Here is a 13,196-nt window from a genome sequence, read left to right on the forward strand (position 1 = left end):
CAGGCTGCCACAAGGGGGCGGAGCGTGCCTCCTCACAAGAGAGAACCAGAGACCACCCACGGAGGGGAATGTAATCATGGGCAAGCCCCCAAATTGTTATAAATAAAGTTTCGGTGCCAAAAAAGAAATATAACTCAAATATAAAATTTTCTTTTTAATTCTCAGCAAGGCAAGTTACATCCATAGAAGGGTTCACCCTTACAGATGGAGCAATGGTGAGCGCACACTTGGACAAGGGAGGGGAAGGGATTTTTTATCCCTGACGCACATGGCCCCTGCTGTGGTGTCCTTCCCCTATTGGCTAGAGTTAGACTGCACAGGCTAAACTAATTCCAATTGGATATTTTTTTGTTTGTTTTTTTTTTTGTTTTTTTTGAGACAGAGTCTTGCTCTGTCTCCCAGGCTGGAGTGCAGTGGCGCAATCTTGGCTCACTGCAAGCTCCGTCTCCTGGGTTCATGCCATTCTCCTGCCTCAGCCTCCTGAGTAGCTGGGACTACAGGCGACCACCACCATGCCCAACTAATTTTTTGTGTTTTTAGTAGAGATGGGGTTTCACCGTGTTAGCCAGGATGGTCTCGATCTCCTGATCTGGTGATCCGCCCGCCTTGGCCTCCCAAAGTGCTGGGATTACAGGCGTGAGCCACTGCGACTGGCCCCAATTGGCTAATTTAAAGAAAGTGATGGGGTGAGCGGTTTGGTGGGAAAAATGGTTTTGACAGAGCAGGTAATCGGAATGAGTCAGGGTGGAGTAGGTAATCAGAAAGATTGCTTTACCAGGAAGTTAAATTTAAAAGTAGAAGGCAAAGAATTGAATATACTGACATGTTAATTATTTGAAGAGAAATTTATAACTCATATTTAACAACTTGACTGGACAGATGGAACTTGCAGCCCCACACCCTGACCTCTGAGAAAGGGAGAGGGGCTGGAGATTGACCTAATCACCACTAATCAATGATTTAATCAGTTATGCCTGTGTAATGAGGCATCCATAAAAACCCTAAACGACGGGATTTGGAGGGCTTCCAGGTTGATGAACACATGGAGGTCTTGGGAATGTGGTACTCCCAGAAGGGCATGGAAACTCTCTGCATCTCCTCCCCACCCCCATCCCTTGCCCTACACAGCACATCTCTCCCATTTGGCTGTTCCTGAGTTTTATCCTTTATGATAAACCAATAAACATAAGTAAAGTACATTCCTGAGTTCCGTGAGCTGTTCTAGCAAATTATCGAACCTGAGTAAGGGGCTGTGAGAGCCCTCAATTTGTAACCAAGTTGATTGGAAGCACTAGACACCAGGGACTCGCATTTGGCATCTAAAGTGGGAGGCAGGCTGGGTGCAGTGGCCTGTAATCCCAGTTCTTTGGGTGGCTGAAGCAGGAGGATGGCTTGAGGCCAGGAGTTCGAGACCAGCCTAGGAAACAGTGAGAGCCTATCTCTATTAAAAATAAAAAAAGAAAGAAAAAATAAAGTGAGGGGCAGTCTTTTCATACTGAATCTTTAGCCTGTGGATTCAGACATTAACTCTGGATAGTTAATGCCAGAATTGAATTGAATCTTTAGACACCCAGTTGGTGTTTGCAGAAAATTGGAGAATTCCTTGGTGTGGAAAACCCACACATCTCGTGCCCAGAAGTGTTGTGAATATAGAAGAAAAGTAGTTTCCTTTTACAGCCCCACTCTGATGACCTCATTTAACTTTACCCCTAAAGATCTAAATACAGTTGCATTGGGGATTAGGGCTTCTATATATAAATTTGGTGGTGGTGTTGGTGGTGGTGGGTGGGAGGGGGAATGGGCACAATTTGGTCCAAACCTTTGGGTTAAAAGCTTACTAAAATTATATGTATTGTAATTCCAATGATGTATTGCAGGTGTATATGTATAGAGTATAGTTACATAGACTCTAAAAAGATGCTCCCCAAGTAACAATGAACTGTGGTAGTAAGATTTAGGGATGCAGTGACAGGCATCTTTGGGACTCTCGGTTGTCTACATTAAGAATAAGTTATAGGCCGGTGAGGTGGCTCACACCTGTAATCCCACCACTGTCGGAGGCCGAGGTGGGAGGATCGCTTGAGGCCAGGAGCTCAAGACAAGTCTGGGCAACATAGCAAAACCCTGTCTCTGCAAAAAATAAAAATAGCTATGTGTGGTGGCAAGTGCATGTAGTCCCAGATACTTGGGAGGCTGAGGTAATAGGATCACTTAACCAGGGAAGTCAAGGCTACAGTGAGTGTGATTGTGTCACTGCATTCTATCCTGGGCAACAGAGCAAGACCCTGTCTCAAAATGGAAAAGAACAAATTATAGAACAGAGAAGCAGAAAAGCAGGCATAAATAAAAGTTGATAGGCCAGGCATGGTGGCTCACGCCTGTAATCCCAGCACTTTGGGAGCCAGAGTTTGGGCGAATTGCTAGAGCTCAGGAGCTCAAGACTAGCCTGGCCAACATGGTGAAACCCCATCTCTACTAAAAATACAAAAATTAGCCAGGCATGGTGGCAGACGCCTGTAATCCCAGCTACTCAGGAGGCTGAGGCTCCTGAGAATCGCTTGAACCCAGGAGTCGGAGGTTGCAGTGAGCTGAGATCGTGGCCACTACACTCCAGCCTGGGTGACACAGCAAGACTCCATCTAAAAAAATAAATAAATAAAAATAAAAATAAAATAAAAGTTGCTGTATATCACCACCATGAAAACAAACGTTATGTAACAAATGAAGATTTGTCTCATATAAGTAAACTTAAATGTTTCAAAAATCCAAAAGAATGTCATTTCTTTTTTTTTTTTTTTTTTTTTTTTTTGAGATGGAGTCTTGCTCTGTCATCCAGGCTGGAGGGCAGTGGTGTGATCTTGGCTCACTGCAAACTCTGTCTCACTCCCACCACCAACCCCTTCTGGGCTCAAGCAATTCTCCTGCCTCAGCCTCCTGAGCAGCTGGGATTACAGGCACCCACCACTAAGCCTGGCTAATTTTTTTTGAATTTTTAGTAGAGACGGGGTTTCATCATGTTGGCCGGGCTGGTCTCGAACACCTGACCTCAGATGATCCACCCGCCTTGGCCTCCCAAAGTGCTGGGATTACAGGCGTGAGCCACCTCGCCTGGCCAAGAATGTCACTTTCAAAAGTACAAATGCATACAATGAATTCTACCTCCAAGGAAAATATTTCTTTAAAAGGAGAAATTGCTTCTGCTATTGCTGCATTTTTTGTTGTGTTGTGCTAGGATACTTGGCTTACAAATTATTTCCTGTGAATAAACCATGTCATCATTTTCATTGAGTCCTTTCAATCTCCCACTTTGGTCCACTCATCCAACTCACTTCCTGGCTCTCTTCACTATTTGCCCCTCATAGAGTGTGATGCATGTCCTCATTTTCCAGCTCCTAGTTGCTCTGTTTTTCTTTTTCATTTCTTCTTATGTTATCTGCAACCATTATTTTACTCCATTTGTTTTCCTTCATTTGTTCTCATTGTCTTCCTCATTCTCACCCTCTTTTCCTTCTCTTGATCCTCTTATTGGCTTACTCTTTATTGAGTTTTCCATTGCCTTTTTCCTCTTTTTCCTCTCTGCAATCCCTACCCTCATAATAAAACCTGGTAAAAAGTGCTTCCACAGAAAAGGCAGAACATTAACATGTAGGGATTCACTCTGCCCCGATATTCCCAGAACAGTGCTGCTTGAGTCTAGCCCGAGCCCTTCTGGTGATTGCCCATCCATAGAGTCGGTAAGTTGACCAGAATCCCATTAGTCAATATTCAGTTACAGCTTACCACTCCATTACTTCTGTTCTTCAGAGAGGGGAATAGCTATGCCCCTCTCTTGCCCTACCTCCACTCCCACCCCCACCCCCCACTGCCACTCCCTGGCTCTTTTCCTCCACACTAAATGTTCAGAAGACATTATTTACCTGGGGAGGGGAAGACTGGGGAGGGGAAGCAGTGAGGGAAAGAAATATCTCCTATAATTATCTGTCCTGAGCCTTCCATCTCTCTCTCTCTCTTTTTTTTTTTTTTTTGAGACAGAGTCTTGCTCTGTCTCCCAAATTGGAGCGCAATGGCACGATCTCGGCTCACTGCAATCTCCACCTCCCAGGTTCAAGCGATTCTCGTGCCTCAGCCTCCCGAGTAGCTGGGATTACAGGCACCCACCACCACGCCCAACTAATTTTTGTATTTTTAGTAGAGATCGGGTTTCATCATATTGGCCAGCCTGGTCTTGAATTCCTGACCTCAAATGATCTGCCTGCCTCAGCCTCCCAAAGTTTTGGGATTACAGGTGTGAGCCACTGCACCTGGCTCTTCCATTTCAGTAGAAGATTCAAAAAAGCTAAATACTTGAGGAAAGGAGATATAATTGAGGCAAATACTGAGAATACCACAGAGGGTGAGAGGACCAAAGCATGAGGAAGAAAGTTATAGATGTTTGGTCTCCATGATATTTCTGAGATATTAAAGAAATAGGCCCGGTGCGGTGGCTCACGCCTGTAATCCCAGCACTTTGGGAGGCCGAGGCAAGTGGATCACGAGGTCAGGAGATCGAGACCATCCTGGCTAACACAGTGAAACCCCATCCCTACTAAAAAAAAAAAAAAATACAAAAAATTAGCCGGGTGCGGTGGCAGGCGCCTGTAGTCCCAGCTACTCGGGAGGCTGAGGCAGGAGAATAGCGTGAACCTGGGAGGCAGAGCTTGCAGTGAGCAGAGACAGTGCCACTACACTCCATCCTGGGCGACAGAGCGGGACTCTGTCTCAAAAGAAAAAAAAAGAAATAGGAGCATAAATGATTCTTAGTCTAAATGAATTACAATCTAGTAGGAGAAACTACATGTCCTTTATGTAGGGGGTTCCCAGGATCATCCTTAGTTTCCACAATTTGCTAAAAGGACTCAAAAGATTCAGGAAAAGTTGCTATACTCTCAGGTACAGTTTGTTGTTGTTGTTGTTGTTGTTGTTGTTTTTGAGATGGAGTTTTGCTCGTCACCCAGGCTGGAGTGCAATGGCGAGGTCTCAGCTTACTGCAACCCCCACCTTCTGGGTTCAAGTGATACTCCTGCCTCAGCCTCCTGAGTTGCTGTGATTACAGGCGCCTGCCACCACACCTGGCTAATTTTTGTATTTTCAGTAGAAATGAGGTTTCTACCATTTTGGCCAAGCTGGTCTTGAACTCCTGACTTCAGGTAATCCATCCTCTTTGGCCTCCCAAAGTGCTGGGATTACAGGCGTGAACCACTGCGCCAGGCCTAATCTATATCCTTTTGCTGTAATAAACTGTACCTGAAGCCAGGCACGGTGGCTCATGCCTATAATCCCAGCACTTTGGGAGGCCGAGGCAGGTGAATCACTTGAGGCCAGGAGTTCAGGACCAGCCTGGCCAACATGGCAGAAAACCTGTCTCCATTAAAAATACAAAAATTAGCCGGGTGTGGTGGTGCATGCCTGTAGCCCCGGCTATTCTGGAGGCTGAGGCAGGAGTATTGCTTGAACTCGGGAGGGGGAGGTTGCAGCGAGCCAAGATCGCGCCACTGCACTAAAGCCTGGGCAACAGAGCAAGACTCTGTCTCAAAAAGAAAAAGAAAAAGGATACATGTTAGAATTAGCAAAAGGGAAAAGGTGCATAGACCAAGTCCAGGAGAAGCCAGGAGCGAGCTTCCAGTTGCTCCCTCCGGCACAGCCCCACAGACAGTGCTTCATTCTCCCAGCAATAATGTGTAACAAGACATATGAAGTCTTGCCAACCAGGGAAATGCACCCAAGCCTTGGATTCCAGGTTTTTTATTGGAGATCCTGTAGGCATGCAGCACCTATGTGACTGGTCTTGGCTACTCACTTTCCAGCTTCCCAGAGATCAAACTGACATATAGTGGCCAAGGGCCTCACGTATATAAAACAGGTGTGAGCCATAGGTCACATCCCGAGCATAAACTCTCTGGTCAAATTAATACAGTATGGCCCAAACTCTCAAGCTCTCCTCTTATCAGGCAGGATATTCCAAAAGGGCAGCAGTAACCCCCCAGGAGCGAGTCAAGGGTCAATCCTCTCTTTGGAATGTGCACCATTTGAGTAACCTAAGCTTGCTAAGTTAACCCTTTATTGCACATCCAAGAAGTGTGTTATGTTGACTACAAAATTTTTTAAAAATTATCTAAATTTTTAATCTTCCTGATGGTAGAAAATTTGATGTAGTCATATTTGAGATAATTTGCTTTTGTTTGTTGTGGTTTTGGTCATTTAAGTTCTAAACTCAATCACTACCATATTCATTCTCCCTTTTATCTATCGCTGATTTGAAGGTCCAAGGGTTTAAGAGGGCCATGGCATATGTGGGGAAACACATTAGGTTTTGGGAGGCATTCTTGGTTTACCGTGGCATATGTAGAGTGTGACTTGCCTCCATTCCCGCCCCCCCCCCATAATAAAACATCTGCAAATATTTTCTGTTGTTGTTTTTAAGAAACTGGGTCTTGCTATGTGGCCAAGGCAGACCTCAAACTCCTGAGATCAAGTGATCATCCCTCCTCTGCCTCCTGAGTAGGGGGTATTGCAGGCACGGGTCACCCTACCCGGTTAACAATACAGGTTTTGTTTTCGTTTTTTTAGAGACTGAATCTCGCTATGTTGCCCAGGCTGGAGTGCAGTGACTATTCACAGGCATGGTTATAGTGCACTGTGGCCTGAGACTCCTGGTCTCAAGTGATCCTCCCACCTCAGCTTCCTGAGAAGTGAGGACTACAGCAGTGCACCCTTGTGCTTGGTTTCCATTGGCTTTTGACTGTGGGCCTCCCCATGGACCCCACTGAGATAGTCTGAGATGGCCTTTGGTGCCTACTCATTGCATTCTCCTTATCCTGACTCAAGTCATCCAGACCTCTCAGCTACTTCTGGAAGTCTGAGAATCTTTTCCTTCTTCCTCTAAATCTATAAGAAATTGGGTGAAGGGGTTAGTTCAGACCCTGTATGTCTAAACACGCCTCACAATCAGAGTTCTACTGAAAAATGATTTTCTTTTTTCTTTCTTTTTTTTTTTTGAGATGGAGTTTCACTCTTGTTGCCCAGGCTGGAGTGCAATGGCGCGATCTCAGGTCACCGCAACCTCTACCTCCTGGGTTCAAGTGATTATCTTGCCTCAGCCTCCTGAGTAGCTGGGATTACAGGCATGTGCCACCAAGCCCAGATAATTTTGTATTTTTGGTAGAGATGGGGTTTCTCCATGTTGGTCAGGCTGGTCTCGAACTCCTGACCTCAGGTGATCTGCCCACCTTGGCATTCCAAAGTGCTGGGATTACAGGCGTGAGCCACCGCACCCAGTCCCGAAAAATGATTTTCTTTTCCTTTTTTTTTTTTTGAGACGGAGTCTTGCCTGTCACCCAGGCTGGAGTGCAGCGGTGCGATCTCGGCTCACTGCAAGCTCCATCTCCCGGGTTCACGCCATTCTCCTGCCTCAGCCTCCTGAGTAGCTGGGACTGCAGGCGCCCACCACCATGCCCGGCTAATTTTTTGTATTTTTATTAGAGACGGGGTTTCACTGTGTTAGCCAGGATGGTCTCGATCTCCTGACCTCGTGATCCGCCCGCCTCGGCCTCCCAAAGTGCTGGGATCACAGGCCTAAGCAAGCCACTGTGCCTGGCCGAAAAATGATTTTCTTAAGTGTCCCTGGAAGTTATAGAATTTCCACCCACTAGCACCTTTTGAGGGGTGGGATGAGAAATCTTACTAGCATCTAATGCTTTTTTTTTTTTTTGAGACGGAGTTTAGCTCTTGTTGCCCAGGCTGGAGTGCAATGGCACGATCTTGGCTCACTGCAACCTCTGCCTCCCAGGTTCAAGCAGTTCTCCTGCCTCAGTCTCCCGAGTAGCTGGGATTACAGGCATGCAACACCATGCCGGGCTAATTTAATGTTTTTAGTAGAGACAGGGTTTCTCCATGTTGGTCAAGCTGGTCTTGAACTCCTGACCTCAGCTGATCCGCCTGCCTTGGCCTCCCAAAGTGCTGGGATTACAGGCATGAGCCACTGCGCCCGGCCAGCATCTGATGCTTTTATTCTCCTTGCTGATGCCCTTCTCTTCCAGTTCAGACAGCTTTGATCTCCTCTCTCATAGGTGGTGGTAGTGGTGCAGTTAAGAAACAAGAAACAGCGCATCATCCAATTAGGCGGAAGCACAGGATGGATATGGGAAAGCAGTAACATCAGACAAGAAGATCAGATGGGAATAAAATTGTGGAGAGCTTTGGATGCAGTGGAGAGCCACAGAAAATTATGGGATAAGGGAGGGACATAGGATGAGAGCTGTAATTAAGGAAGAGTAATCTATTGGTAGTGTGGATCTTTGTGAAATATATTTGAACACGCTTTGTAGGGCAACAATATCCAAATAAAGAAATCATATGATTAAGAAAAACAAACAGTAAATTCATTTTCTGGACTTGAAGTTCCATATATGTGAACAAAGTACAATGTACGATTGTTTTACTCATGTGAAATTAGGAAGGCTAAAACGATGGAAGATCATTTTCTGTAAAACCATGGTGATTTGAAAAACTTTAAGCTAGTGGGTTTGATCAAATTACATGGAATTCTTTCAAAACCAGCCTATTCAATTTTACTTCTCAGTTTTCCTTCCCTACCACCATCATCTGGGGAATAAGAGGGACTTGTCTTTAGTAGGCTTGAATCCTGTATACCACCTATGTAATGAATTTTTAGCATATTAAGGGAGTTGATTTTTGAATACAAAATTCCATTCCTATTATGTGAATGTTTTCAAGGTGTAGCTTCAAAAATATACAATATGGTTTGAATTCTGGGGAAGGAGTGTTCAACTTTGGGGTGGCTTTAGGGGATAACAGATAAGTCAGAATTTTGAAGGAACTAAAACAAAGGGAACAGCGTGTACAAAGCAGGGTGGCCTTACAATTGCTGCAGCATGAAGCATGAGAGTCGCGGCGACTTCAGCTTGAGAGGCATATACGGACGAAATCGTGGAGAGATTTGTGAGTGGGTGAAGACCTGTGGGACAGACTTCCGTTTCTGGACCCACCCAGGTCAGAATCACTTGAGATGCTATCAAAATTGAATAACTGAATACGGAGGTGGCCCAAGCACCTGTTTTTCACTAAGCTTCTCAAGTTATTCTTATGCAAACTAAGGTTTAAGAGCTACTTCCATGCAAAAAAACAAACAAACAAAAAATCCCAAGCTTAAACAGGAACCAATGGGTGGGGGAGGCGGGAAGAGCTGTTGAATGTCTTGTGATTAAGTAAAAGAACCTCTCACTTGAGGCCTACGGAGGTTGTGTTTAAGGGCAAGGTCTTGAAGGAAGGCTACGTTGCCTAGCCCTCCCCCATTGCCATCCCATATAGTCCTCCAGGAAAACTGTGATTTTAGCAAAGCCTTTCATGACCCACTCCATCTTTCTCTAAAGTCCAGTACCGCTTCATTAGTATTGACAAAAAAAAAAAAAAAAGGTAAATACTTCTTAAAGTTACGTGTTACAAAATCTTGTTTCCTTCATTCCGTTTCTATTCTTCAAGTTCCTTAAAAGCTGCGCCATTTTTTGAGTGAAAAATGTGCGTAACTTCTGATATCAGCGTAGAGAGGTGAGGGAGGGAGGGAGGGAATAAAATAAGAGGGAGGGAGGAAATACAAAAGAATCCTGAAGTTATGAATTATTTGGGTAACAGTATTGAGGTTTATTTTTGCTTAATGATGCTATATTTATGCAATAAAAACATTTGTCAATCTGTATTAATTCCTGGGAAAACGAACCACTTTTAGTCACTTAAAAAGCAAATCACTGACTTTAAAAATTAATTTCACCTTTTTCATTGGGGAAACCCTTTAAAAATTTCCAACTTGCACGAGAACTTCCCCCCCTTATTCTTCATACTCATTCATTCTAGAGATGAGTAAAATTAGGTTGCAATATCCCTGCTGCCTCCAGAGTACCTCTTTCACACAGTATTTTAAAAAATTATTTCCTTGTTTGCTCTTCAGTACCTCCACTCCTTCCTCCTGTGACCCTCCGACCATATTTACTCCTCCTACAAGACCAGGTCTCCAGTAATGAAATCAGTTTTCCAAGCAGTTACTTAATTAACGGCATTGAGTAGACAAGTGAGGTCCCGCCCCCTAGGAGGAGCTAACACCGCGGACCGAATCAGGCGGATGGTCGTTAACAAATGAACCCTTAATCTTTTCAGAGGAGGAAACATACACAAAGGCCCAATCAGAAGCCGCGATTTCAGGCGTCCGGAGGGGGCGGGGCTGGGCAAGCACCTCCCACTTCCCAACCTCCCGCCGCGGCCGACGGAGCCTCGCGGGCTCCAACAGGTCCCGCCCCCTCGCCAGGCGCGGCCGCTATTGGGCGGCGCGCTCCACACCGAAGCCTCAGTTGCTGGGAGAGGGAGGGCGGGGGCGGGGGCGGGGCCTGAGGTGGGCCAGGGGGATGAAGAGAAAGGCGGGGAGGCAAGGGCGGGCTGGGCGTATTCCACGAGCGCCTCGGCGGTTGGCGAAGCGGACGGGGTGCAGCCTCCCCGGTGCGAGGAACGGTCTCCGCTGACAGATACCCTCCTTCCGGCCGCGCCACTCGGGAGGCGGATCCCGTGGGCCTGAGGAGGCTTCCCCCGCCCGGTTTGCTTTCCCTCCCTCGCTGGCGCTGCCGCGAGTCCACCGAGCGGCCTCTGAGGAGCAGCCGCAGGAGGAGGAGGAGGTCGTCGGGGGCGGCGGGCGGAGACCGCGCTCTCGCTTCCCCGGCGGCGGCAAGGGCAGGACAATGGAGGTGGCGGTGGAGAAGGCGGTGGCGGCGGCGGCAGCGGCCTCGGCTGCGGCCTCCGGGGGGCCCTCGGCGGCGCCGAGCGGGGAGAACGAGGCCGAGAGTCGGCAGGGCCCGGACTCGGAGCGCGGCGGCGAGGCGGCCCGGCTCAACCTGTTGGACACTTGCGCCGTGTGCCACCAGAACATCCAGAGCCGGGCGCCCAAGCTGCTGCCCTGCCTGCACTCTTTCTGCCAGCGCTGCCTGCCCGCGCCCCAGCGCTACCTCATGCTGCCCGCGCCCATGCTGGGCTCGGCCGAGACCCCGCCACCCGTCCCTGCCCCCGGCTCGCCGGTCAGCGGCTCGTCGCCGTTCGCCACCCAAGGTGAGAACCGGCCGCGGCCGCTGGGGAGCCCGGGGAGAGGGCCAGGAGGGGGCGGGCGCCCTTGTGCGGCGCGACCCGCTGTCATGTCGCCGCCGCCCGGGGTGCGCGGCGGGGGAGGGGCGAGCAGGAGGGTCTGTGCTGGCGACGGTGACATGGAGGGCCCGCGCTCTGCGGCGTGTCGCGCTCGGCCAGCAACTTCCCCGGGCGCTGTGGACTTGACCGCGCCGCCGCCGCCGCCGCTGCTCCGCATTCTCAACAGCCGGGCGGCCCCTGCCACTCGCACTTTTGCAGACCTCTGTCGGAGTCTCCTGCAGCCGGAATCTCGGGTTCTTTGCCGGCTGCAGCCAGTTAACTGCTACCCGCCCGCTGCCTCCACAAAGCTTTGTCCAGGTCCATATGATCCTGATCATCTCGTCTATACTCACGTTATTTGAGCTGCAGGGGAGAAGGGAGGGATGAAGATGAAGTGATGGTGACTTTCTTTGATGATTGATTGCAGATCGGATGTCATTTATTTCTTATCTTGCATGTTTGGGGCTCTTTACCTTAATGAGTTCCCAGTTCTCTTCCCTCTCCTCTGCTGGGGACAAAGGAACCAAGAGACGTTGTTTTGTTGTGTGTCTCTTTCAAAGGTTTTATTTTGAGACGGCGAAGAGAAATAATACAAAGTGATTTGGGTTTTCTGGTATTTTATAGATAAAGCTGGAAGTTACTGTTCTCTTTGTGGTGTTTATTACTGTAAAATTAGACTTTTGACAGGTGTTCCATTGCTAACTTTGACAGGTTTGAAACATTTAAAGTAAGTTTGAGTACAGTTTCGGGTAGAACACTTGGCGGTTTTTAAATTTTATTATTGCAAATATTTGAGCACCTCCTTTTTAAAAATACAGTGTAACTGGAAAAGCATTTTTAATACTTTTTAGAGGAAATAGTTGATTTAGTTTGAAATAAAATGCTAATTAAGTAATTATGCTAGGTCAAGGGGCGTATGAAATGGATACTTCAAATAGATTGTGGGCTGAGACTCATTTATTTGACTGCATGTTAGGAGCAGTATCCACTTGTAGGAGACAGTTTTCCGTGGGTCTCCGTTTCTTCACTCTTGCCAGCACCCTTGCCAGCGAGATACTGACTGCCCTTTGTTTCTATTTTTTCACGGATATTATCTAAAGAGCAGCCTTGGAAGATAGAGATAGTGTCTTCCACCAGAGCAAAAGGCGGGGATACATATTATCCAGTATAATAAGAATAACGTCTCCCTCTGGAGCGAAAGGGTAGGCATGCTTACTGCCCATCTTAAAAGATTAGGGTTCCCTAAGCTTAGGGTTCCTCTCCTGTAGAGAAGGAACTGCCTGTGTAGATGTCAACTGGCTCTCTTTACGTTGTCCAATGGGAACCTGGAGTTCTGAGAACTAGTGCAAAAATCTTTTTTTTTTTTTTTTTTTTGAGACGGAGTCTCGCTCTGTCGCCCAGGCTGGAGTGCAGTGGCGCGATCTCGGCTCACTGCAAGCTCCGCCTCCCGGGTTCACGCCATTCTCCTGCCTCAGCCTCCCGAGTAGCTGGGACTACAGGCGCCCGCTACCACGCCCGGCTAATTTTTTGTATTTTTAGTAGAGACGGGGTTTCACCGTGTTAGCCAGGATGGTCTCGATCTCCTGACCTCGTGATCCGCCCGCCTCGGCCTCCCAAAGTGCTGGGATTACAGGCGTGAGCCACCGCGCCCGGCCAAAAATCTTGATGATGCTTTGGCTTATGCTGTTCCTGTGAGTAAAAAACAAACTGCCCTGTGTCTCTGACCCTTGAATGTCTTCTGTCACCATCCATGAAACTGGTAAGGTTATTTGTTAGCTTGCAGGTTGGACACTCTCAGATCCTTCGCAGTAGTTTGCTCTGAAGAGGCCCACGACTGGAAAGTTCGAACAGGTGAAAGCTTAAACCTTAGTTCTTATTTATTTATTTATTTATTTTTTTTTTGAGACGGAGTCTCGCTCTTCTTGCCCAGGCTGGAGTGCAGTGGTGCGATCTTGGCTCACCGCAACCTCTGCCTCCTAGGT

The 13,196-nt window shown here is 47.6% G+C and overlaps 1 protein-coding gene across 3 annotated transcripts in view, besides 6 other annotated features; it reads left to right on the top strand.

The window, feature by feature from the left end:
* Nucleotides 8,944–9,454: an enhancer, noted in NCBI's record as "OCT4-NANOG-H3K27ac hESC enhancer chr7:138143459-138143969 (GRCh37/hg19 assembly coordinates)". NCBI's record gives its function as "activates a minimal SCP1, AML or CMV promoter by ChIP-STARR-seq in naive and primed H9 embryonic stem cells {active_cell/tissue: H9 hESC(naive and primed)}" and the evidence as "EXISTENCE:reporter gene assay evidence [ECO:0000049][PMID:30033119]".
* Nucleotides 9,858–10,640: an enhancer, noted in NCBI's record as "OCT4-NANOG-H3K27ac hESC enhancer chr7:138144373-138145155 (GRCh37/hg19 assembly coordinates)". NCBI's record gives its function as "activates a minimal SCP1, AML or CMV promoter by ChIP-STARR-seq in naive H9 embryonic stem cells {active_cell/tissue: H9 hESC(naive)}" and the evidence as "EXISTENCE:reporter gene assay evidence [ECO:0000049][PMID:30033119]".
* Nucleotides 10,151–10,540: a silencer, noted in NCBI's record as "silent region_18685". NCBI's record gives its function as "represses an Ori minimal core promoter by ATAC-STARR-seq in GM12878 lymphoblastoid cells {active_cell/tissue: GM12878}" and the evidence as "EXISTENCE:reporter gene assay evidence [ECO:0000049][PMID:35858748]".
* The window catches only part of TRIM24 (tripartite motif containing 24), a 129,738-nt gene continuing 127,030 nt past the window's right edge, over nt 10,489–13,196 (top strand). For 2 of the 3 annotated variants that reach the window (NM_015905.3, NM_003852.4), the window contains exon 1: nt 10,489–11,142. In NM_015905.3, coding sequence (NP_056989.2) covers nt 10,779–11,142 — 364 coding nt within the window. In that variant the 5' untranslated portion in view covers nt 10,489–10,778. Of the gene's footprint in view, nt 11,143–11,170; nt 11,533–13,196 lie in introns of those variants that run through there. The other variant, XM_024446981.2, reaches the window with a different exon arrangement.
* Nucleotides 10,601–10,850: a silencer, noted in NCBI's record as "silent region_18686". NCBI's record gives its function as "represses an Ori minimal core promoter by ATAC-STARR-seq in GM12878 lymphoblastoid cells {active_cell/tissue: GM12878}" and the evidence as "EXISTENCE:reporter gene assay evidence [ECO:0000049][PMID:35858748]".
* Nucleotides 10,881–11,360: a silencer, noted in NCBI's record as "silent region_18687". NCBI's record gives its function as "represses an Ori minimal core promoter by ATAC-STARR-seq in GM12878 lymphoblastoid cells {active_cell/tissue: GM12878}" and the evidence as "EXISTENCE:reporter gene assay evidence [ECO:0000049][PMID:35858748]".
* Nucleotides 12,814–13,108: a silencer, noted in NCBI's record as "tiled region #12555; HepG2 Repressive non-DNase unmatched - State 2:TssF, and K562 Repressive DNase matched - State 5:Enh". NCBI's record gives its function as "represses a minimal TATA promoter and a strong SV40 promoter by Sharpr-MPRA in HepG2 and K562 cells {active_cell/tissue: HepG2 | K562}" and the evidence as "EXISTENCE:reporter gene assay evidence [ECO:0000049][PMID:27701403]".

The sequence above is a fragment of the Homo sapiens genome, chromosome 7 (assembly GCF_000001405.40).
Source record: "Homo sapiens chromosome 7, GRCh38.p14 Primary Assembly".
Taxonomy (NCBI): Eukaryota; Metazoa; Chordata; class Mammalia; order Primates; family Hominidae; genus Homo; species Homo sapiens.